This window comes from Homo sapiens, chromosome 17 (assembly GCF_000001405.40).
Source record: "Homo sapiens chromosome 17, GRCh38.p14 Primary Assembly".
Classification (NCBI taxonomy): domain Eukaryota; kingdom Metazoa; phylum Chordata; class Mammalia; order Primates; family Hominidae; genus Homo; species Homo sapiens.
In genome coordinates, this window is record NC_000017.11 from 65,548,662 (window position 1) to 65,573,522 (window position 24,861).

The following is a 24,861-nucleotide window of genomic DNA, read 5'->3' on the forward strand; positions in this document are numbered from 1 at the left end:
GGACAGCCGGAGACAGGGATACCCAGGCCACAGCTACACATCCCTCCTCATGAGACTCACTGAGGATCACTGCTGTCCATCCACAGAGATTGCCATGACTTGACTTCAAATGACCTAAAATTCAAAATGTTACCTTGACTAAGGGCCTTCTGACCTCATCGGACCACGCCAATGTCTTGGGTTACTTTCAAAAATCAAAGGCTGTCTGCCAAAGATCCAGATCAGACACTACTTTGGAGAGAGCCCCTACTTAGGGTCCTCAGTATCTAACACAGAGTATCTAACACTCCACCCACACTTACTGAATAAACGATGTCCATTTAAAAACAAAACAATGCGGAACATTACACACTGTGGCTCTTTAGAGATTTCTGGCTTTCTCACCCCCACTTGCAATGCCTTTTCCTCCAAAAACAATGAATACCTAAACACAGACCCTTCTAATGCCACCTTGTCTCCCAGCTGTTGGTTCTGCAGACAGGATACCTGGGTTTCTGGACCAGCCAAGCAACTGTTCCCACAGGGACAACCAGATGATGACAACCAGAAGAAGGTTTTTTAAACTCAAGGAATCTATAAATATTCATTCATCCTAATCTTCTACTGTCCTTTAGTTTTTCTTCTGTTACAATATCCTCCCAACTTTCAAAGCTCTAAGCTTTACCCTACCCAGATGACCATGTCATCCTCCTTAATCAGCACCATACCCTTGTCATACTCCCCTCCCACCAAACTGATGTCCATACATGCACAGGTGCGGTCTGCAAAGCCAGCTGAGGATGACAGACGATTCTGGCTAAGTGCTCAGGTGGCATCCACTCCCAAGCAAGCCCACGGAAGGGTGGCCAGGATACTCACACACTGCTGTCCGTCATGGACATGGAATCATCCGTCAGCGCATCACTGGATATCTCACTGTCGTTGGCGCTGGTGGCTGGTGCAAAGACATAGCCAGAACCTATGTGATAAGGATTAACAGGATCGCTCCTCTTGAAGGACCTATGGGCAAAGTACAAAAGTGGTTCAGTCACTGACCCTCACCAGAAACCCAGGTAATCAGGTGACCCCAGGACAACCCAGCACACTATCCCACAATCTGCTCAACGCCAACCTGCTGCCCAGGTCCAGTTGCTCACCTGGGCAGAAAGCAGGGGCCACAAAAGGGAGGCCTCCTGAGCCACCGGTTCACCCTGGGGAAAGCAAGCTGGTTCCTCTGCCCCCAGTGGTGGGTCTGCCAGGGCAGAGAGTATTCCAGAGGCAGCCCAGGGGATCCTGTGAAGCTCTAAATGCACTTAGAGGAAGGAACTGGACTCTGCTTTAGGAGAGGAGGCCATGGAATAGAAGAGGGGAACGAGTCAGTGAAGATGAAATATCTTTCTCTGCTCCACCTCCCTATCCAATCCTGCACCAAAGAATACAATTTCAGGGCCCCAAGACATCTTAAGTACCTAAACTCCTTGTCTGGGGTCTGTTAGCCCAGTCCAGAGATGCAAACAGCTAGAGGCCAGTGTGGCCTTCTCACTTTGACCCTGGGCCCACAGTGAGCTGGACAGACGGGACAGAAAAGTTCAAGACAACGTTCAGGACTCCAATCCCACCTGTGAGCTCTGCCATGAGCCGTTGCCATGCCCCTTCCCCCAACCCCCAGCTTCCTCTCCCCAGGACTGGCTAGTGCAGCAGGATTGAAATGAGCAACACAGCTGTTTCAAAGGAAGGCCCAGGCCCCTCCTCCGGTATCTCCAGCCCTTTTGTTTCAATGGCCTCTGGCTCCTAATTTCACCCTCCTGATCTCCTTCCAGAACAACCAGTGTGCACATCTCCTGCTGGGCCGCATTCCTCTTGTGTCACCAGTGAGGGGCTTAAGTAGCGGGGAGGGGCAGATAGGTCGGCAGGCTGCACGTTAAGGCCTGAAGTCGCAGGAGGCCTATTTACAAAGACCCTGGCATCCTCCACTGGTCCCACCAAGTCTATGCCAGCAGCAAAGAAATCAAGTGAGGGAGAAAAGAAAGGCTCAGAAAAGAGAATATATTCTATTAGTCCACAGCAGCTGGTCTGTAAAGATGGCCGTGGGGTTGGCAAATGAAAAGGACCCAGAAAGGTGACAGTCAGCTGTCTGCACATGTTCACCAAGCTCCTACTCACTTGCTACATGCTGAACTCTGGTCTTCCAGCACCCATGGCCTGGTGGGGGCATGTCACCATACTGTGGGGGTGTCATGAGGGAGGTACGCTCAGTGTTATCACAGGCTCACGAGGAGGGGAGAAGGAGCACTGGACTGTGCCCATTCTACAGATGAGGCCCTTGGAGTCCAGAATTCCAGCAGCCTGCCCAGATCACACAGCTGGAACTGGTGGGCATGGATTGAGTCACGTGGCTCTCAATCAAACTGCCTCCCAATACAAAGACTAGACTCAACATGTTTCCAAGTTCTCACAGAATAAAAAGCAGGAAAGGAGTGCCTTAGTACAGGTAACCCAGATGACGGATAGAACATTTCTAGGAGGGACAGTTGGGGACGGCTCCCTGGGACAGATGGGACTGATGGGACTAATGGGACTAACGGGACTCCCTGGGACAGATGGCAGATGGGACTCATGGTTGAGCAGGAATTTGAGGAGATGACAACCCAGGACTAGGTAAAGGGAAAAAAGGGAAAGGTAGCGAAAAGCTCTCCCTAGACTAGGGAGAGAGAGGGGTCTAATTAGCCAGGCTAAGAAGGCCTGGCAAGGGACGTAGGTCTTCAGTGCAAGGTCATAGTCCTGTCTTAACTGGATGGGGAGGGGCCAGGAGGCCAGGGGACAGCAGGGGTGCCAGGGGACCGGCAGGGAGAAAGCATTCCCATCAGCACATAGGATCCAAGGTCTGTCACCAGACTGGATGGAAAGGAGGGGTAGGTACAGGCAGGGAGCCCTGGGGGAAGCCACCGCCACAATTTGGTGTGAGGGTCTGTCTCAACAGGGGATGGTGGGATGGAAAAGAAGGTAGGAGAGGCAGTCTCTGCCTTTAAGGAGTTTGCGCTTGTTGGAGTCACCAAACACACACAAAAAGTTACAGGGCCATAAACTTTTTAAGCCAGAAGGGACCCCTGTAATCATCACAACCACCCAAGGAGGTAACTTAGCACCATGTGGGCCAAAGGCCTTGTCAGACTTGGCCAGAGGAGCCGGACCACAGCTGTGCCCTGGATCCTGTCCGACTGCATCAAGTCAGATCTTAGAAATATGCTGTAGGCATAGAACTGACCAGAAGGTGCAGACCAGGAGCACTGCACATGAACCCCTCAACACTTTTGACCAAGTGACTTGTGACCGTCACTTGGACACTCTGACCCTGTTCTCATATCTGTAGAGGGCAAGAAGTCTCACGACCTCCTGGGATTTTTTTGGTGAAAATTAAATGAGAACGGTAAGATCTTCCAGGCCTTCCTCCTGGTCCATGTGTCCTCAATCCGGAATTCCCCAACACCAAGGGCAGAGAGGAGTGGTGAGAGTAAAAAGAACAGTTCATTCTTCTGGAGAAGAGAAGGTTGATTCAGTGAAAAAGGCCTCGTAGTTGAGAAGGGGGACTCTCTGTTCAGCATCCCCACTAAAGGAAGAACAAGGGGAAATAGACTTCAAAAGTTAGAGAGAAAAAAATACTTCTAAATGGTCAGAGGAAATCCATAAAGTAGGTGGGGACAGGCTGTGAAATCACCCAAGTCTTTAAAACAGGCCAAAGTGCCCAGCCATCTGGGTGCGTAAGTAAGGCGTGGATACTGCCTTGAAGCAGGATGCACACGATGACTTCCTTGGGGCCTTTTCCTGTTGTTAGGAATCCAGTGATGAGGCCACATTCTGTAAACTCTCAGTAGGGACCAGAAGTCAGAGGCTGGGCACTGCTGCCGGCTTGGCTGCAGTGCTCACTGCTGGGCTGAGTCACAACCCCTCCAGAGGTGGGCACCCACCTGAAGAGCAGGCAGTTGGATCATGGCCTCTGCACCAAGTTCTGAGGTCCTCCAAATGAACCAACAAAGGCACAGTAATTTGGGGGAAATCACAGGAAAATTCCAAGAAAAAACCGAGTGCCAACAAAAACAGAGAGCCCCAGCCAGGCACGGTGACCCACGCCTATAATCCCAGCACTTTGGGAGGCCGAGATGGGTGGATCACCTGAGGTCGGGAGTTCAAGACCAGCCTGACCAACATGGAGAAACCCCGTCTCTACTAAAAATACAAAACTAGCCGGGCGTGGTGGCGCGTGCTTGTAATCCCAGCTACTCGGGAGGCTGAGGCAGGAGAATCGCTTGAACCCGGGAGGCAAAGGTTGTGGTGAGCAGAGATCACACCATTGCACTCCAGCCTAGGCAACAAGAATGAAACTCCATCTCAAAAAAAACAAAAACAAAAACAAAAAACCAGAGAGCTCCCATTTTCTCAACTGCCCTAATTTCCTTCATCATCTTTATCATGATCTATAATGACTGGACACTGGTGTTTCCATGTTGAACACCTGTCCTGTGAAACCAGACTGTAAGCTCCATGAGGGACAGCCCTGTCCTCACACGAATCTCCGACGCTGAAAGTAGTGAGTGGCACGTGGCAGTGACTGAAAACCTTGCTGACTCTCCTTAAAGGACCTAAGACCATTAGATGGGTCACTGGAAAAGTTTTTTAGTTTAACAGGCATGGTGCAACACCAAAAAAGCCAAAACAGCCTTAAATAGCATTCAAACACTCTTTCTTCCATGCCTTCAGTCCTGCTATCTTGGTGGTATTAACACATCAACCATGTCTCCACTGTAAGAGCTATACTTCAACCTCTGTGGGGAGAAAATGACTCAATAGAAAATTCCTTCCTCCCAGCAAAAAAGACACCTAACTCAAACCCTATGTGTGCTCACACGGCTTTGCACTCGTTGTTTAACACATGGATCCCAAAATAAACTTGTCTCCCTTCACTTCCAACATAGAGGACTACTGTGTGACCAGTAATTAAAAATGGAATATACTGCTCTTAACTCAGTTGACTGCAATAAAGTACTTGGATTTTCCCACAATCATAACAAGACAGGGCAGAGAAAGGAGGCAGGGTTGTGGGGAGAGGCAGAGACTCGGTATTTCAGAACCCAGACCTTTGTCAAAAGTGCCACATAATTTTAAGAAAACGGAGTGGGGCTGTTTTCTTGTGATTACTTAAAAAAAAAGGCGGGGGGGGGGGGAGGAAACTCAAACCACGCTACAGTAATTGTACCCAGATGCTTTATTTCCTCAGGACTGTTGTGCTTCCAGTTGCTGCAAGGATTTTAAATTCCTACACAGAGTAGAGGCCTATGCTGCAGCTTCTGCATCAGCCTCACATCCACAGACCTGGTTTGCAACCTCAGTAAGCAAAGGGTTTTCAGCCTGCAGGTGGCAGAGACCCCCGGAACCTTCAGGGAAAGGAGGTGCCGGCTGCTTTCTGTTTTCCCCTATCCTGTTCTTATCTCCTCTTAATGAGATGCTGTGGCCCTGCCCCTCCCCATAAACCAGAGGGGAGCCTCCAGGCAGGGAGCACAGAACTGACCTGACAGAACTGACCATAGGGGTCCTCCTCCTTCTCCTCCTCTTCCTCTTCCTCCTCCTCCTCCTCACGTTCCCTTCTCAAAACAATGCAACTTCAAAAGTATATGCTTCTAAGTCTGTGCGTTCAGGGCTTTCCAAGAGCCCTCTGAAAATTTACTCACAAGGTCACTGCCCAAAAGGCAATACCCTCTTCAACAAGCATTTTCTAAGGCAAGATCAAGGGACACTCGGCAAGGGGCCAGGACTCCAACAGCACTGGGCAACGGGACCTTTTGAAAACAGGCAAACTTTTACAAGTGGATCTTAGCAAACTGCCCTCACCAGAGCTTCCATCCTCTAATTGTGGACTACTGCTTCCAGCATATCTTTCCTATGGCATCATTTTCTTTGATAATTGAAGCCAAGCTTGATTCCAATGGCTCCGCACAAAAACGGGCCTCATCAGCGAGTTCTTTCAGAGAACTGGAAGCAGCACTCGGAGCCAGCAGAGGGCCATCTGCTGGGCCCGACTTCTTTTAAGGGAGGCCAGAGCAGAGGGCCCAATGGGAGGCAGATGAGCCCCACCTTGGGCAGGACACACAAGGGCCCGTGCAGAAAGGCGAGGACACAGGGAGGGCTCTGTGCACCCAGCACCTTATTCTCCTCCCCAAAATAAATGCTGGGCCCAGTGCCCAATCCCACAACCCCCCTTCGCACACACCTCGACACTGTGCGTGTGTGTGTCTGTGTGCCGGGGATTTTACACGTGCTCCTACCAACAAGTTGCTTTTGCTCTAGGTTATTTATAGCCATTGTCAAAAGCCCAGGCATCCCCCTCAACCACTCAGACCAGAGTCCTGCCCTCTGAGGATAATTCCTGCTCTTCCGCCCCAACTATTTATATTAAACCTGACACCAAATCAGTAAGGACACAAACAAGTCGTTAAAAACGAGGCTCCTTTGAGTGCCCGAGGTAAACACAGGGCTTGCAAGCCTGGCCAGTGCCCCAGGCATCCGGCTGCCAAGACCGCTCCTCAGCAGCTGATGAAGAAAGACCATCCTCAGCAGCACTGACGTTTCTGTTCCATTCATTTTACTAACTTATTAAGCCCATCCCAGATGCCAGGTACTCTGCAGAATGAGTGAGTGTGCGGGAGAGGGAAGGGGGGAACTTAAACCTTAGATGGGATCTCTACATTCCAAGAACTAGCTGGAAAAACAGACTTCAGTTCAATAAGAAAGTTGAGGCATGGGGGTCAGGGGGCCACTCTAAAACCTTACAATGGAAAATGGGCTAAGCCAAGAGTCACCCTTTAAAAGTGACATCCCAACCTGGTTGTCCTATTTACATCATCATTACTAATTATACTAATTATAACACTTTGCGGCGGTTCAAAACGTTTCTCTCTACAAAAGGCTTTCATGTTTATTATTTTGGTCCTAATAACAATCCTATGACACAGACAGAAGGAATGGTGCCCACCCATTTTACAGATGGGCACATGCCATTCAGAAAGGCTTCAACACCCAAGCAGTAAGTGGTGGACCGGGCTGGAATGCAAGCCTTTGAATAAGGAGTCAGCAGACCTTTCCATACACTGTGCACACACTCGAATATCTTGCACGTTAAAATGATGTGAGATCATCTGGCTATGTCTTAAATTCTCTTTAAATATGCCCAGTTAAGACATATGAGCTTCAGAGAGTCCTTTAAGATGCTTCATCTCAACCCAACAGTGGGAGAAGGCACACGTGAATCTCGTATGGAAACTCTCAGGTCAATGACAAGCTGTCACCTCTTTATCAGTGATGTCCACGGTTCACAGCCAAGAAGGCAGCCCTGGAAAACAGGAGCTTCTGTCCCTGCCTTCTGGATCTCAAAAGCTTCATGAGTTGCATCCTGGTAATATCCCAGATGAGGCAAGCCCAGGCTGAGTCGCAACTGCCCACCCACAAAGGGGAGGGTTCACAGCAGAGCCCTGCCTGGGGAGGGCGTCCAAAACCACACACTGTGCTATTTACGAAGGTGACACTCTGGTCCCGGCAGTGGGAGACACAGAAGCCCCAGTCAGGAGGCCCCTGGAGAAGCAGCCTTTACCACGGCTCTTAAGTAGTCTCAGCTCTGGCTGCCAGGCTAGAGGGCAAGGAGGCCAGCGCCAGAGGCTTACCCAAATGGTCTCATAATGGGGCGGGCAGGCGTAGCAGGTGCCCGGCGACTGACCTACTGCAGAGGCCAGACCCAGGATCTTCCTCCCAGACAACTTGACTCCACAAGCATAAAGACACTGAAACACCTCCCTGGAACCTGTGTTTCCTTGCAAAAGTCAACCTGGTTCCACTTAGGTGTAGACCAGATGTCTGAGTAAAACTGGTTCCCAAGCCACAAGCGCGCCCCCTGGTGGTTGGAGAACAAGCCCTTCCTCTCCTCGCCAACAGTCAACTCTCTCTGCCGCCCCTAAAATCATGGCCCGCTAGGCTCAGACCTGGCCACCCTGAGAGGCTCAAGATCAACCATCTGGTGCCCACCTCTCTTCCTGCTGCTGGGCACTAGAGACCACATCCTACAGAGAAAGGGAAATCCAGAGGCAGCTATCAGACCGCATCCTGGGCCCCTAACACACAGAGAAATTCACACAGAGAGCAAGATAAATCATTCAGAGAGCAGTCAAGTGCAGCCCCATCCCCTGCCTGTCATAAAACCACACCCCGGAATTAAGAGGCTCATTCTCTTTTCGGATATTTGGAAGTCGGGAGGAGGGGAGAAAACAGAAAAACTCATTCTAACAAGAGGTCTGAAGTTGCCTCCAAAGGTCAAGAATCTTAAGACTTGGCCATTCTGCAAAGAACTATTTGTCTTTGAAGCCTCAAAGAGAAAGTACTCCAGGGCCCCAGTACTCCCGGGCCAAGATCTCTTCTCCATCAGCACTAACAAAATAATCAACTGAAGTCTGACCCTCGGACTCATGAGCATTTAAAACCTGGATTAATATGCCAGCAAGCTCTAAAGGTAAGGGTCCTTCATTTGGGAAAGTCACAGGACCTTCCCTAGTTAGAGGCCTTTCTTGCTGGGTAAATATCTAATTCTACAAAGGGAACCACAAGCTCAGTTAAGCCAATTGCTGGCTCTTATCTTAACAGAAAAGTTCAAAAAAAAATCCCACTTACCCCTCAATGGGTGCACATATTATTTCCTGTGCCTCCACCACAACCCAGCTGCCTCCCTAGCCACATTAATTCCACCCTCTACTGATTAGTGGTGAAGTGACCCCTTCCAAAACCGGCGCTTAGTGGATCTGGTGACTCAGAGGCATCAAAAGCTGCTGTCCTCTCTCTCTCTCTCAACCTCTTCTGAGACACTAGCCCGGGATAATAAGTAACCCACATTAGTGAATACTGCTTGCCACTGTTTGAAGTCAGCACTGGAAGACTGCAGGTATTTACTGTATGTGCATCGCTTTCCCCCTGTTTCAACAACAAAAAGCAAGATCAAAAAGGGTTCATGGCCAGCAGTCCTAACTCAACAGACCTGTCAGTCTCTGCAGCACACCCATCCACCCATCCACCATACTTAAAACATCTGCAAAGTCCACAGCATCAGCCCACCCGCCCCCGTCAAAGTCTTACCTGTATCCACTGTCAACAGTTTCCGTGGACCTCACACTCGCCGTGGCCCTCAGAGTTTTGCTGGACAAGCCAACCACGGTTGGCGAAAGTTTGCACTTGAAGTCGGCACAAGTCCACTCCTCTTCTTCATTCAAGGTGGGGAGATAGCCACACACGACCTTTAGGCTCCCGAGTCCCCCATTACTCATGTAAGCTGTGTTTTCTCCCCCACTCCTCACATATTCGAGGTATATATCAGAAGTCAAAAACATCTGGTAGGCATTTTCCTCCATCACCGACTGGATCTCGGTCTGCGCCTGGTCAAACATGATGGAATCAATCTGCTGCTTCTTGATGCCATCTCTTATGTAGGTCTTGGTGGCAGGCTTCAGCTGCTTGGAGACAATGCTGTTGTTCTCAATGTACCTTTTGTAGATCGCTTTGGCTACTCGTAAAGTTTTGGTATCCTTCAGGTTCATCTGCCTGAATCCATTGCAGGCAAACCAGAAGTCTAAGGTATCCACGCATTTCTCCCTCTCCAGGAAAGTTCGGAACAGGTAAGCACCGTCTTGATCGCCCAATAAGGAGTGTAAGGACTTGGTCCACCGGGTCAGAGGGGAATCCGGAGATGCCCGCCCCTCCGGCTCCCCCAACCCATCTTCGTTCCGCCTGGTGTTGGAAGAGACAGGCATGGGTTTGGTGACCTGGCCCTTGCCCACCCCTGGCTGACACGGTGGGGTCTCCCCTTCTTCCCCTGGCACTGGGGGCCGCGGGGCATCCTCACGGAAGCTGCTGCTGGGGTCCGGGAGGCAAGTCACCAACATAGCGCTACTCATGGTGAGGGAGCTCTTCCCACTGAGTCTGGGAATTTTTCTTCTTCCAGTTCCTCTCAGCAATCGGCGTGGTCTCTCTGTCTCTCTCAAGTCAGCAGGGGCTCATCTGAACCTCCTCTCTGGAAAGAAAAGGAAGGGGGGAGGTGGGGAGAGAGAAAAGGGTATTGATCTAATCAAAACCAGATCTACCCAACATCAAAGCAAGAAAGTAAACAGGCTTTTCAACTCCTCAAATTCAAATCAAGCAACCCAGCTATCTGCGAGGTGCTCATCTAAAGTATCAGGCGCTGCTTTTCAAAAGCGAAATCTGAGCTCCCTGCACACTTTTCGGGGTTGGGGGTGGGAGGGAGCTGTTGGGAAAGAGGCGGGGAAGGTGAGAGGAAGGCAAGAGCTGGGGACGGCAGGGGGACACTGGAGGTGTAAGACACAACCTTCCAAAAACCCACTCGGCCAGGGCGCACGCAGGGCAGCTCAGCCCGCGCCTCGCCTTCCCTCCCTTCCCCTCCCCCGATACCATCAACTCCAAAAAGGCGCACTCCCAGCCGCTAGGCTGTGTGCAGGTGAAACCAATTTCGGTATATTTCCCCACTCGGCCCTGCACAGATAACTCGAGCTCCAAACGTGCCCTTCCCCGGCATCTGGTTCCCATTCTCCCCACCCACCCCCTCCCTCTGCGCTCCCTCTTCCCACTCCTTAAAAATTCAGAAGATCCTGGCCCAAGAGAAGCCCGCCCAGCATAGGCGGATTGGGCTCCCGGACTCCCAGATTCAGCACGCAAACACCCCCTCCCCAACTCAGATTTGAGTGTTCGCTACGCGCCCCCTACCCCCACCAAGAATCCAGCTCAGTCAACACCTCTGTCTTCCCTGACCTCCCCCCAAACCAGAAACCAACTCACTCAGGGGAGACTTTCATCTTCAAACTTTGAGAGAGAGCTGAGAAGCCTCGGAACCGTCGCCCCCGTGCCCCCAACCCACCTCCCGGATCCGCGAAACCTACAAAACTGGATCACCAGCCGTCTCACGCCACTACTGCCTGTGCCAAGAATCCCAAACTCTACTGATTTCAAGCCTGTCTTTTTTCCAAAGAAAAAAGTCTTATCTAACCAATAAACAAGCTGCTTTCCCTAGCACGGAAAAGATCAAACTAAGAAGGGTAGGGGCTGAACGGGGTGCAACCCCGGGCGAGAAGCCAGGGACCCCGGATCTGGGATGGGTGCACGCTGAACCCGACCAGAGCCTCGAGCCGCGGGGCTGGGCGGCGCGGCCCACGGAGAAGTGGGGCTGCCGTTGGCACCGCGCTACCCGGGCGGTGGGAGGTGGAGCGGCCCCGTTACCTGGAAGACGAAGGCCGCCGAAGCCAGGCTCTCATGTCCTCCGAGCCCCTCCGGCCCGGTCCCCCGGCCCAAATGCAACTGAACGCCTCCAGAGCCCTGGCGGGCACACCTCGAGGCCGGAACCCCGGGACACGCCAGCAGCGCCCCGAGCCCGGGCGGGGGGTCGGTCCCCGGCGCCGCCGTTTGCAGAGGCGCCCGCAGAAAAAGCACAGAAAGCAGCAGCCTAGTCCAGAAATGGCGACGCGCGGAGTCTCTGCCTCTCCGCAAAAGGGGCCGGGGCGGCCACGGGCGAGGGGCCCGGGCCGGGAGGAGGGACGCGAGGGACACGGGCGCCCCGGACTTGGGCCGGTCCTGCGCGCAGACTGAGCCTCCGCCAGCGCTGTGGGCCCCTTAGCGCGGACCCGCGGCAGGGAGGGGAAAAGGGGAGGGGGAAGAGAAGTAGGAGGAGAGGATGGGGCGGAGGAGAGGCGGGGGGCGGGGGAGGGCAAGCGGGGGGCGCCGCTACCCTTTCATCCCACCTCCCAAAGGCACTCCCGCGCGCACTCACACGCCGACTCACATCCATAACCGCGACAGCGACGCGACCCCCGGGGGGTATCTGCCCCCTCTCCGCCCCCGCCACTGCCGCCACTCGGATAAGTCTCCTCTCTGGGCCCCCCGCCAACCCGGTCACCGCGCTGGGGAGGGGGCTCCGGCGCAGGGCGCGCAAGGCTGCCCGGCCAAGCCCCCCGGAACGCTGGGCGCCGGGTCCGCCGCTCCCCTCCGCGCCGGCCCCTAGCGCGCCCCGAAATAGCCGGCCTGCCAACTTCAAAGGGCCGCCCCGCACATCAAAGCGCGCGGTCCGCCCGGCCGCCTCGGCCTCGGCACTCACCATTGATCCCCGCGCGCGCTCGGCGGCGAGACCTCGCAGGCGCCCCTGGCAGGGGCCCGGCCCCGGCCCCCGGCTCGGCTCGCGGCGGCAGCCCCGGGCCCCCCCGGGCCGGCCGCGGCGTCGGGGAACATGGGGAGTCGTGCGGCGGGGGAGGGGGTGCGGGAAACAACAATCCCGGGTTCAGAGCGAAAGCCACCGGCCGGGGAGGGGGAACGGCGCGCCCCGCCGCCCCTTTTATGCAAAAGATCCGAGCGGGCCTCCGCCCCCGCCCGGCCCGGCTTTCAACGCAGGTCCTGTTTCCAGCAGTCACTCGGCGCACCAAATGTCCTCCGGGCGCTTCCAACAAAAACTGCGCTGTGGATTTAACTGTGCACTTCAAAGGCGCGAGCCGAGCGCACGGTCCTGAAAGGGAGGTACGCGCCGGCCGCGCCCCGGGCCGCCCCCCGCAGCCCCGCCACCGCTCCGCAGGGCCGCCCCGCCCGCGCCCCCCTCCAGGCCCGGCCTCCGCCTGGCCGGGCCCCCTCCCGCCCCCCGCGCCCACGCCGCGGCTCGGCGCGACCTCGCCCCCTGTAAGAGGGGGGCTTTCTTTGAAGCGGCTCCGCTGGGGCCGAGCTTCCACCCCCACCTTTTACAGCAGGGCCTTCGGCGGGCGCCTCGGCCGCCGGGCGGCCCCGAAATCCATCGCTCTGAGGGGTTATTTTTATTTCCCGGCTCTCGGGCTGTTACTGAGTTGCCAGGACCTTATCAAAGCGCAGCCGGCTCCAGCCGACTCCCCCGGGCCAGGCTCGCGGAGCCAGTGATCCCGCCGCGCCAATCACAGCCGCGCTCGGCCGGCCCGCGCCGCCCGCCTTAAAGGGACAGCGCCCCGCGCCCGCCCCGCCCCGCCCCGGCCCGCCCCCGCCGCACGCTCCGCTCCCGCGTTAACCCTTCCCCGGCCTCTCCTCCGCCCCCTGCCAGCCCCCCGCGGCCCCGAGGGCATTCTCAGCCCGAGTTCTGATTTCTTCTTTTAAGTTCTCCGGCCTCTTTGCTCCCGCCTCCTCCCCCTGCCTGCCCTCGCTCTCCCCGGCTCTGGAATGCAACAGTTTCTGGTAGCATTATGGCCATCGCAAGAACTGCAAGCAAGCAGATTTTTTTTTTTCTATCATCAAACGCTTTTCTACCTCTATTCAAGTTTCCCTGGGAATTTGGGCTTGGAGGACTTTATAAAGGGAGTTCCGGCCCTGGGGTTGGCTGGCCCGCTGTCATAGGGCGGACTCGGGCCCAGCCGCTGGAGGCGTGTGCATGCCTGTGCGCGCTTGTGCACGTGCATCTGAGTTCGGGTAAATATAGGACTGCAGTTGGTGGATGAATTGCGTTTGTGCATGTGTGAAAGTGGGGTGTGAATCCGCCAGTATAGGCCTGAGTGCTAACACCAGTTAGGAGGCATACCTCAGTGCCCTGAAGACCTAGGTCCAGCTTCCTAACCTGCTGGCCATAAGACCCTCGTAGCGGCACACATTGGCCATCTCTCCCAAACAACTGCATACCCGTTACTCTTCCAAAGTCCCCTCTTCTGCCATATGTTACATATTAAACCGATAGGAATATCTTTTTTCCCACTCCAAACGACAAGGCATGCATGCCGTTTTAATGTATCGAAAACTCCTCACCCCATTGTCACCTTTGAATTTCTCCCACATTTGCCCAAAAACGTTTATAAGGCACACACAACCTTCTCTTCTCCGTTAAAATGAGAAAATATGTCACAAACCCAGAGCATTGTGTATTTATTCTGCTGCTGCTATAGAATGATTCCTTATGTTATGAGCGAATAATTAACTTTTCTTCCTTTTAAAAAACAAAGGGCCGGGGACGGTGGCTCATGCCTGTAATCCCAGCATTTTGGGAGGCCCATGCTGGAGGATCATCTGAGGTCAGGAGTTCGAGACCAGCCTGCCTAATATGGCGAAACCCCGTCTCTACTAAAAATACAAAAATCAGCCGGGTGTGGTGGCACGTGCCTGTAGTCCCAGCTACTCGGGAGGCTGAGGCAGGAGAATCGCTTGAACCTAGGAGACGGGGGTGGGGGGGTTGCAGTGAGCCAAGATGGCACCACTGCACGCCAGGCTGGGTGACAAAGCGAGACTCCCTCAAAAAAAAAAAAAAAAAACACACACACACACACACATAAAGGTGTGAACCAAAGAGATCCAAGAAGTGAAAGGCAGAGTCCTGGCCTCAGAGCTGTGCAAGGCTCTTACTCTCCAACTTAATGGATGACGAGCCCTTTTAAATGCGAGATGGCCTGTCATTAGGCCTTCAGAACTTTAAAACATGCAAGAATTGTGGCTCTATCTAGGTATCCATAGAAAAAGAGAAGGAAGAGGCTGGGTGTGGTGGCTCACCCGTGTAATCCCAGCACTTCGGGAGGCCAAGGCAGGCGGATCACCTGAGGTCAGGCATTCGAGACCAGCCTGGCCAACATAGTGAAACCCTGTCCCTACTAAAACTACAAATATTAGCCAGGCGTGGTGGGGGGCGCCTGTAGTCCCAGCTACTCGGGAGGCTGAGGCAGGAGAATCATTTAAACACAGGAGGTTAAGGTTGCAGTGAGCCTGGGCGACAGAGCAAGACTCCATCTCAAAAAAAAAAAAGAAAAGAAAAAAAGAGGAGGAAGATCCACCACCCATGATCTGCTGGAAAGGGGCAGGTGGCAGGACTGTGCGCCACCTGCCCTCAGCCTAAGGGACTGTGACAAGGGACTAGAAAGCTCTTAGACTTTCTAGTCTAAGACTCTGGACTCTGGCTCGTGGGTGCCATGACAGGTGGCCGCTCCTCCCCAAAACCTGCCTTTCGGTGCCCATGGTCTGCAGCTCCAGGCTCTCGACCCCAGGCAGCCAGGTTGGCATAAAGACAGCAGTACCAGCCCTGAAATGTGGCCCTGAAGCCAGCCAGGAAGGCCAGGGAAAGAGTGTGGCCCGATGACTCATCTTTGCCTTAGGACAACTGCTGGTGTGAGGAAACCAGTGGGCTCTAAAAGCCCCGGCCTGCTGGTATTCTGGGGGGTCAGTGGCCCATGGACCCTCTTAGCCACCAGCTCTGAGCTGGCCCAGGGCCAAGAACACAGCCACCACCTTTGGCCACCCCAGGAGTGCCAAGAGTAAAACTGTCACTGTGGTTCCAGGGAGTCTTTGGGCCACAGAGGGTGTTATTACTGGAACAGAAATGTAGACAGAGGGGTATGGATTGCCATAAAAGTGTCTACCATATAAACAACAGTAAAGTCACACACACACACACACACACACACACACACACACACACACACACAATGTGGGGGGTGGGGGAGAGAGAAAAATCAAAACATCTAAAATCAAAATAAACAATGTTCAGAAAAAAGAGGTTTTCAAAAAGGAAGTGGAAACTTGGTCTTTGTGGGTGGTTTTCCTCTCCTCCCAGTTGTCCCCACCGACCCGTCACTGCCTCCCCCAACCAGCCCTAATCACTGTAGGCTCAACTTTAACCAAAGGACTACCTCATTATCCCATGGCTGCGACTGTAGCAAGAGGGGACTGGGACTGGGACTGGGGACCCAGGAGCAAGGCCCGGTTTGGTTTGGATCTTCTCGGTCAATAATAACTGCTCTGAGGGCCGGGGTGCAGTGGCTCATGCCTGTAATCCCAGCACTTTGGGAGGCCAAGGCAGGTGGATCACCTGAGGTTAGGAGTTCGAGACCAGCCTGACCGACATGGAGAAACTCCTTCTCTACTAAAAATACAAAATTAGTCAGGCATGGTGGCGCATACCTGTAATCCCAGCTACTTGAGAGGCGGAGGCAGGAGAATCGCTTGAACCCAGGAGACGGAGGTTGTGGTGAGCCGAGATCGTGCCATTGCACTCCAGCCTGGGCAACAAGAGCAAACTCCGTCTCAAAAAATAAATAAATAAAAAATAACTCCTCTGAGAGCATGGTTTCCAGAACAGGTGCTCGGGTCACTTTAGGGCAGTGACTCCCTCCACCATCACCCCTGGCCTGTCCCCTTTCCTACAGCTTTATATCTGGTGGGACACTTCCCTCCCAGCAGGAGGCTGGGCCAAGTACTGGAAAGCCCTCTCTCTAGCCTCTGGGTCTCTGACTACTTGTTGATAATATTTCTAGAGGAGAATCCAAAGTCCTGTGCTTATAGCAGCCCGTTTCTCAAGATAGCACGTTTTCCATTTTCCCCTTGTCCCTGGCAGCAGCGCTATCATGTGACTTGTTGTAATCCTGCACGGTTGCCTGGAAACTGGAAAGCAAGGTGATGGATTTCTGCACATGCTCACTCGCCCCCCCGCTCCACCTTTAAAGAAAAACCCTACGGAGGATAAACAGTCCACTTTGCCTAAGTGCAGACAAGTTTAATAAAGCAGAGAGTGATTCTTTGCTGGAATTATATACTGGGCTGAAATCCTAGAATCCCAGAAAACAAGGACTAAGGGCTCCCTGGGAGGCATCTGGCCAGATCTCTGACCTTTAGTCAGCCCCACAAAAACCACTGTGGAGGGGAAGTCACACCAGCTGGGACTTCAGAGGAGCTGAGACCCAGGACACTGCTCTCTCAGATTCAGTAACTTTGTCTTTTATTCCTTTGGAAAAGTGCTGCCTTAGACAATGTACCTTTGTTTGGGGAGGAAGGTGAAGAGAGACACAGGTAACCTTTCCTAAGACTGGAGGTTACCTAACCACACGGAGTTTCCATTTGTTCACCTGTAGACTGGAGGAAACCTCCCCTGCAAAGGCTGTTGTGAGCCTGAGCAATACGATAAATGCCTGGCACAGAGCTGGACACACAATAGAACATGGCGGTTATTTTCACAGAGTAAGTCTGTTCCCTCAATAGCCTGTTACCTATTCTGGGAAGAAACTCCCTATCTCCAAAGCAAAGATACCGTCCATTGGGAGTGACGATCTGGGGAAGAATGACCCCAGGAGGCTGACCATAGGGGGCCTAAAGGAGATAAAGGAGGCTGTGCCCTGCTACCATCTTTCAAGGATAGTCCTATGCAGAAAGAAATAAGCCCAGGGGCCATTCAAGAGTTATCTAGTCCAACCCTTCATTTAAGAAACCAGACAAATTGGCTGGGTGTGGTGGCTCACACCTGTAATGCCAGCACTTTGGGAGGCTGAGGTGGGCAGATCACCTGAGGTTAGGAGTTCGAGACCAGCCTGTCCAACATGGTGAAACCCTGTCTCTACTAAAATTACAAAAATTAGCTGAGCATGGTGATGCATGCCTGTAATCCCAGCTACTCGGGAGGCTGAGGCAGGAGAATCGCCTGAACCCGAGAGGCAGAGGTTGCATTGAGCGGAGACTGCGCCATTGCACTCCAGCCTGGGCAACAAGAGCGAAACTCTGTCTCCAAAAAAGAAAGAAAGAAAGAAAGAAATCAGACAAATTAAGCAAAGAGAAAGTGAGATTTCCCCAGGATCACTTTGCCCATATCAGAGATGAGCTGGAACTTCTGAGGGGTCCTGACTCCTGGCCCAGCCTCTTTTTCCTCCACACCATAGTGAGGAGACCCAGGGAGGGGCTGGCTGAGATGGAGGGGGTGAGACCATCTGGAGGTCTTGACTTTTACAACAGGACTAATACATACAATCTGGGATACTTTCCTGAAAGAATCACAACAGGGCTTCTGTCTGAAATCCCTCTAAGGCACGCTTCATCCAGCCCCTACCTGTAGGTAGGTTGCCTTGGCTCTGCCAGCTGGGCTACCCACAGCCTGATCTGGGACAGTTTGACCCACGTCTTTTAGAGTGGCAGCCATTTACATGGGCATCTCCGTGGAGTTGATCCACCTAAGGAGGAATGGACCTACTTCCTCTCCCCTTTGCAGAGGAGGGACTGGGAATGCCAAGGTGGAGATTTTGAAGCCACAAGGGGAAAAGTAAGGTTTCCCTAAGAAATCCCATCTTCAAGGCCAGGTGCAGTGACTCACACCTGTAATCCCAGCGCTTTGGGAGCCCAAGTAGGTGGATCAGCTGATGTCAGGAGTTCAAGACCAGCCTGGCCAACATGGCAAAACCCCATCTCTACTGAAAATACAAAAATTAGCCTGGTGTGGTGGCAGACACCTGTAATCCCAGCTACTCGGGAGGCTGAGGCAGGAGAATCATTTGAACCCAGGAGGCAGAGGTTGCAGTGAGCCGAGATCGTGCCACTGCACTCCAGCCTGGGCGACAGAGTGAGACTCTGCCTCAAAAGAAAAGAAAAGAAATCCCATCTTCAGAAGTGTTGGGGGAATTTATTTGTTGATAAAATATCTTTTTTTAATATGAAATTTAAAACACAGTTAAACAGTAATTTAAAACTTCCTAATTGGACTGACTTTCAAGTGCTTTTATTATGGATTGTAAATAGAGCTGCAAACTGCTGATTTTTTTTCAGCATCTCACCCTTCGTGGTCTTCAAGTTTGGCTTTTAGGAGTTGGCCTGAGCTTGTAACCAGAGGAGAGCACCGATATACCTATATTAAAACAAATCCAGAAAGAGGTTTTGCTTTCTTTTTTCTTTATTATTATTATTTTATTTTATGTATGTATGTATGTATTTATTTATTTTTGTTTTTTGAGATGGAGTCTCGCTGTGTCGCCCAGACTAGAGTGCAGTGGCATGATCTCGATTCACTGCAACCTCCACCTCCCGGGTTCAAGCAATTCTCCTTTCTCAGCCTCCCAAGCAGCTGGGATTACAGGCACCCGCTACCACACCCGGCTAATTTTTTTTTTTTTTTTGTATTTTCAGTAGAGATGGGGTTTCCCCATGTTGGCCCTGTGATTCCCCCATCCTGACCTTGTGATCCGCCTGCCTTGGCCTCCCAAAATGCTGGCATTACAGGCATGAGCCACCGCCCCCGGACCAGAGGTTCTGTTTTCTTAAGTGATCTTCTCCACAGTGAGAGACACCAAAACAAAGGGCGAGGTTGGGGGAGAAAACAGCCCCGAAAGGTCATTTTTAGAAAAGGAACTGGAAAATAGAAAGGAATCCCCCTAAAGTCGTCACGCCAACCTGCGACGCGTGTTCCTAAACCGCCCCCCGTAGACATTTTTCTCACCTTCTGATATCTTATTTTGCTCATTTTAAACAACTTCTGGAAAGCAAAGTTTAGCTGAGCTTGAAATAAGTTGCCTTATTCACCTCTGGGCACAGTGGCTCATGCCTGTAATCCCAGTACTTTGGGAGGCCGAGGCGGGTGGATCACGAGGTCAGATAGAGCCCATCCTGGCTAATATGGTGAAACCCCGTCTCTACTAAAAAAAATACAAAAAGTTAGCCGGGCGTGGTGGCACGCGCCTGTAATCCCAGCTACTTGGAAGGGTGAGCAGGAGAATAGTTTGAACTCGGGAGGTGGAGGTTGCAGTGAGCCGAGATGGCGTCACTGCACTCCAGCCTGGGGGACAGAGCAAGACTCTGTCTCAAAAAAAAAAAAAAAGAAACCTGGGCCACATCTAGACTCCGCCTTCTCCCTCAAACGCCTCCATTCATTCACCCAGCCCTGTTGATTCTGCCTCTAAAAAAATCTCCCACCACCACCTCCTGCTCTGCAAATCCACAACTGCTATCAGGGCCCTTGCCAGGGACAGCCAAATGTTCTAATGATGCTTCACACCTACAGTTTATAGCCCTAACCCCTGACCCCCCTCACGCAGTGCTGCAATGGTAAACGCTGTGCAGTGCAGAGCCACCCATGTCATTCTCCTGCTTCAGATCCTCCCCGGCTGCACATAACCTTCAGGATAAGGCCCAGAACCCTATGTGTGGTGCACAGGTAGCCGGCCCAAGCCCAGGCCCTTTTCCAGCTCTATTTCTTTTTCTATCTTTTTTTGTTTGTTTGTTTGAGATGGAGGAGCCTCGCTCTTGTTGCCCAGGCTGGAATGCAGTGGCCCAATCTTGGCTCACTGGAACTTCCGCCTCCCAGGTTGAAGTGATTCTCCTGCCTCAGCCTCCAGAGTAGCTGCGACTACAGGCGCATGCCACCACGTCTGGCTAATTTTCATATTTTTAGTAGAGACGGGGATTCACCATGTTGGCTAGGCTGGTCTTGATCTCCTGACCTCAGGTGATCCACCCACCTCGGCCTCCCAAAGTACAGGAATTACAGGCGTGAGCCACCATGCCTGGCCCTCCAGCTGTATTTCTTGCTGACACCCCCTTGTCCCTACCATATGCATGGTGGATTGCCTCTCCTTTTCCTCCCTGGCCGACTGCCCTCCCTCTGCCACTTCTTCAGTCCTCTCCCACCTCATCCCCCGAGACCGGGCTAGAGCCCATCCTCCTACTTCTGTGGCATCTGGGGCTCACCTCTAGCAAACACTGTGGTTGATCTACTTCTCTGTCCCACCCACTCAACCATGAACTCTCTGAGGACAGGGACCGTGTTTTGTGATACTTGCATCCCTTGAACTAGATTGTGGGAAGGAGGGACCTGGGCGATATTTAATAGCTGGTGAAACCTGTGTACCGGCCAATCAGAACTGATACCAGCCTAGGGTCTGGAACAGGGTCTTGGAAACCCCCTGCCAGAGTCAAGCCAGTAGTCGCTGTGTCACGAGGAGCTGTGGTTGGCATCCTCTAAGTTGGGCCCTAATGATCCCTGCTTCCTAGTTCCACACCCTGCATACTTCCCTCCCCTTGAGCATGGATAGCATTTGACTCTCTCCTAATAAATAGAGTATGGCTGATGTGACAGCACATCCACTCCACATTAGGCTATCGAAAGGCTGCGATTCCTTCCTTAGGTGCTTTCCCTAGAATCTTGAGGCATCCCTGTTGAGGGACCCGTGTGACGAGGGACAAGCCCTGCCACCAACCAAGTGATCTCAGAAGCCGAACGCCACCTAGGCAAGCCTTGACATGATGCAGGTCCAGCTGCTGGCTTGCTGGTAGCCTCATGGAAACCTCAAGGAGGAGGCACCCGGCTAAGCCATGTCCAGATTCTGGACCCACAGATGAAGATGTATCCTCTGGGGAGGGGAGTGGTGAAAACTGACCTGCTGATGAGACTTCGCCCTGTCAGTTAACATTGCTAATGGTAAGAACCCAGTTGCAAGACATACAGGTTGTGAATCTTTTCTATACTTTATTTTTTTTATGTTTTCTTTTTCTGAGACAGAGTCTCGCTCTGTTGCCCAGGCTGGAGTGCAATGACGTGATCTCAGCTCAGTGCAACCTCTGTACCCAGGTTAAGGTGAATCTCCTGCCTCAGCCTCCCGAGTAGCTGGGACTACAGGTGTGCACCACCATGCCTGGCTGATTTTTGTAGTTCTAGTGGACACGGGGGTTACACCGTGTTGGCCAGGTTGGTCTCAAACTCCTGACCTTGAGTGATCGGCCAGCCTCAGCCTCCCAAAGTGCTGGGATTACAGGCGTGAGGCACCATACCCGGCCCTTTTCTGTACTTTATGAAATGACAGCACGTTGATGGTCAATGACGACAAGCATAAGCTATTGGCAATAATTATCACATATTTGGGCCAAGCCCAGTGGCTCGCGCCTATAATCCCAGCACTTTGAGAGGCCAAGGCAGGTGGATCACCTGAGGTCAGAAGTTCGAAACCAGCCTGGCCAACATGGCAAAACCCCATCTGTGCTAAAAATACAAAATAATTAGCTGGGAATGGTGGCAGGCGCCTGTAATCCCAGCTACTTGGCAGGCTGAGGCAGGAGAATCCCTTGAACCCGGGAAGCAGAGGTTGCAGTGAGCCGAGATGGTGCCACCGCACTCCAGCCTGGGTGAGAAAAGCCAGACTCCATCTAATGAATAAATAAATAAATATCACATATTTGAAGTTCTTCAAAGGTTACTGGAAATTTCTATTGAAATATATCAAAATTCTAATAGATTAAGAAAGAAATATCAAATTATTTTGAGATGTTACTGAGTTACAGGATAGAGACATTTGGTCACACTCAAAAGCAATATTTGCTTTGCCGCCACCTTTTTCTTCCCAAATGGAAAGAACTCACTGGTCTAGGAGGTAAATGTGAATAGTCCTTGCAAGCTATTGCATTCGAATTAGAGGAGAGGAAATGCATCTTCCCTATGGAGCGACTAGGAACCTGGGAGAAAGGGGCTAATAAGAGGATCGTGTGACTTAAATGTGATAGCAAAATTAGCGGGGACATGGGCTAATTCTATGCATGATGATGGTTTTTAGAAAGCAGACCTCGGAGTCCTTGTCATTGAATTTAGATGGGAATTGGTGGGGGCGGGGATTGGCGGGGATTGGGGGAGAGGATTCCTGAATGGTGTGGCTCAGAAAGACTTTGAAGAAATCTTGGTATTTGATGACCCTTTTAATGACAGTGTGCCCTGGGAGTATGTTCTCTAAACAAACAAGGAGAAATGGTCTACAGATCAGTATGGTTGAATGTTAATAGCTTTCTTAGCAAAAACATTGCTATCACAAACAATAAAATGTGTAGACTGGCCAGGCGCGGTGGCTCACGCCTGTAATCCCAGCACTTTGGGAGGCTGAGGCGGCAGATCACCAGGTCAGGAGATAGAGACCATCCTGGCTAACACGGTGAAACCCTTGTCTCTACTAAAAATACAAAAAATTAGCCGGGCATGGTGGCACGTGCCTGTAGTCCCAGCTAATCGGGAGGCTGAGGCAGGAGAATCGCTTGAACCTGGGAGACGGAGGTTGCAGTGAGCCAAGAATTCGCCACTGCACTCCAGCCTGGGCGACAGAGCGAGACTCCATCTCAAAAAAAAAAAAAAAAAAAAAAAGTGTAGATTGAGACTCACCTCCTGGTAATCATGCTCTTTTGGTAAATACTTTTGCTGATAACTTTTGAGTATAGAAAAAGATACAATAATTATTGAAACTAGAAAATCTATCTTGATAGCTTCAATGAATCACCCAAACACCTAAGGGATGTTGGGGGAAAAAAAATTGGTCAGGTGCAGTGGTGCACGCCTGTAATCTCAGCACTTTGGGAAGCTGAGGCAGGGTGGATCGCTTGAGCCCAGGAATTCAAGACCAGCCTGGGCAACATGGTGAAACCCCATCTCTATAAAAATACAAAAATACAAAAATTAGCTAAGGGGGGCAGGGGGAGAGAGAGCATCAGGATAAATAGCTAATGCATGGTGGGCTTAATACCTAGGTGATTGGTTGATAGGAGCAGCAAACCACCATGGCACACGTTTACTTATGTAACAAACCTGCACATCCTGCACATGTATCCTGGAACTTAAAATAAAATAAAAATTAGTCAGGTGTGGTGGCGCACATGTGTAATCCCAGCTATTCGGGTCAGGGGGCTGAGGTGGGAGGATCGCTTAAGTCCAGGAGTTTGAGGCTGCAGTGAGCCGAGATCGCACCACTGCACTCCAGCCTAGGAAACAGAGCGAGACCTTGTCTCCCTGAAAAGTAAAAAAATAAAGAAAACAAAAGAAAGAAAGAAAAAAAGAAAAAATTCAGTGAAAAACAAGTATTGAGCTAGCCCAGCTTTTCAGATAAGGAAGACTGGAGCAAGACATCCCACCAGCTTCAACGGGTCAAGCGGAGTCAGGTTAGGTGACAAGGCACCACCCCCACTGAAACGAGTCTTTCTTTTTGCAAACTGCCTTGTTTTCAAGACGCTCAATTTGTTAAATGCATTCATCTGTCTACCTTTGTATAACTTTTCACAGGAATCCATTGGTTCACAAAGCAGAAAATGATCAAGACCTGGCAGCCTGACTTGGGGGTCAAAAAATACGGTCACAAAGAGCAGAGTGCAGTGAGTAAGGGGCTCCATCCCCACCTTCTCTTCTACTCCAAGGTCAGAGAAGAGCCAGAGCAATTTGTAAGAGCACAGAGGTGTGAAAGGCAGGTGCCAGACGTGGCCTGTCCAGGGAAGGAGGGGGAGGTAGGGTCGCTGTCTGCAGAGTGGATACTCGGAGAATGCCCTTGGGGACACCCTCAGCTGTAGAACAGATTCCCGAGGTCAAGACCAAGAAAGGCACCAGGGCCACCCAGGAAGGGAGTATGGGGCGCCATGGGGTGGCCTCGGGACTTCACCCATTTCCGCTCGCTCAGGCAGCCACCCACTTTGTGCAGGTCCAGCAGCTGCTCCAGCCGAACTTGGCTTATCTGTAACAGACCTGACCCTCCCCCACTCCATTCCCATCCCTTGAACTTTGACCTTTTCTCCCCAACAAAGGCCACCTGCTTTCCTTTCTCTCGCTGTCCCCAGGAGATGCCCTGCTCTGAATTTCCCTGTGAAAAGGCATCAACCTCAAACTCTACAAGACAATGGAGGGTCTTGCATACGCCTAGGGAGGCAGTTGTGCCTGGGAACATGGGGCTGGGCCTTTTCTTGGGGAGCCACGGTGGCACGAGGAAAGCAGGCACCCAAGGCAGCGGGCACTGGGGCCCCAAAGTGGAACCCAAGAGCAGGGTCTCTGCCCTCAGCAGCCCCCAGTCTGGGGGAGGGTGGGAAGAGGACACCGATAATCCCCGTTTTGATATTTTTTTGTGCCACATGATCGGCAGGAAAGGTGAGACAGACACAGGGCACAGGAGAGTTGGAGGCTGTGGGCAGCTGAGAACAGGAACTGCAAAGACCCCAGGCAAGAGGAAGCTCTGCCTTTTCCAGAAACTCATAAAAACTGAGAACCAGGGAGAGCAGGGAGGGAGAAAGGTGAGGTGGGGCAGACTGGCCTAGGCCGGCTTGGCAGAGCACTGT

The 24,861-nt window shown here is 52.1% G+C and overlaps 1 protein-coding gene across 12 annotated transcripts in view, besides 6 other annotated features; it reads right to left on the minus strand.

Moving 5' to 3' along the window:
- Positions 1-12,987, minus strand: part of AXIN2 (axin 2) — a 33,086-nt gene extending 20,099 nt beyond the window's left edge. For 2 of the 12 annotated variants that reach the window (XM_047436872.1, XM_047436870.1), the window contains exons 1-3: positions 12,904-12,987; positions 9,145-10,075; positions 859-999 (exon numbers count right to left, since the gene is read on the minus strand). In XM_047436872.1, coding sequence (XP_047292828.1) covers positions 859-999; positions 9,145-9,959 — 956 coding nt within the window. In that variant the 5' untranslated portion in view covers positions 9,960-10,075; positions 12,904-12,987. Of the gene's footprint in view, positions 1-858; positions 1,000-9,144; positions 10,076-10,854; positions 11,657-11,851; positions 12,079-12,163; positions 12,517-12,788 lie in introns of those variants that run through there. The other 10 variants (NM_001363813.1, NM_004655.4, XM_047436873.1 and 7 more) reach the window with 6 other exon arrangements.
- Positions 5,764-6,536: an enhancer, noted in NCBI's record as "H3K4me1 hESC enhancer chr17:63550543-63551315 (GRCh37/hg19 assembly coordinates)". NCBI's record gives its function as "activates a minimal SCP1, AML or CMV promoter by ChIP-STARR-seq in naive H9 embryonic stem cells {active_cell/tissue: H9 hESC(naive)}" and the evidence as "EXISTENCE:reporter gene assay evidence [ECO:0000049][PMID:30033119]".
- Positions 6,537-7,310: an enhancer, noted in NCBI's record as "H3K4me1 hESC enhancer chr17:63551316-63552089 (GRCh37/hg19 assembly coordinates)". NCBI's record gives its function as "activates a minimal SCP1, AML or CMV promoter by ChIP-STARR-seq in naive H9 embryonic stem cells {active_cell/tissue: H9 hESC(naive)}" and the evidence as "EXISTENCE:reporter gene assay evidence [ECO:0000049][PMID:30033119]".
- Positions 13,001-13,150: a silencer, noted in NCBI's record as "silent region_8863". NCBI's record gives its function as "represses an Ori minimal core promoter by ATAC-STARR-seq in GM12878 lymphoblastoid cells {active_cell/tissue: GM12878}" and the evidence as "EXISTENCE:reporter gene assay evidence [ECO:0000049][PMID:35858748]".
- Positions 20,202-20,271: an enhancer, noted in NCBI's record as "active region_12610". NCBI's record gives its function as "activates an Ori minimal core promoter by ATAC-STARR-seq in GM12878 lymphoblastoid cells {active_cell/tissue: GM12878}" and the evidence as "EXISTENCE:reporter gene assay evidence [ECO:0000049][PMID:35858748]".
- Positions 20,392-20,441: an enhancer, noted in NCBI's record as "active region_12611". NCBI's record gives its function as "activates an Ori minimal core promoter by ATAC-STARR-seq in GM12878 lymphoblastoid cells {active_cell/tissue: GM12878}" and the evidence as "EXISTENCE:reporter gene assay evidence [ECO:0000049][PMID:35858748]".
- Positions 23,822-24,660: an enhancer, noted in NCBI's record as "OCT4-NANOG-H3K27ac-H3K4me1 hESC enhancer chr17:63568601-63569439 (GRCh37/hg19 assembly coordinates)". NCBI's record gives its function as "activates a minimal SCP1, AML or CMV promoter by ChIP-STARR-seq in naive and primed H9 embryonic stem cells {active_cell/tissue: H9 hESC(naive and primed)}" and the evidence as "EXISTENCE:reporter gene assay evidence [ECO:0000049][PMID:30033119]".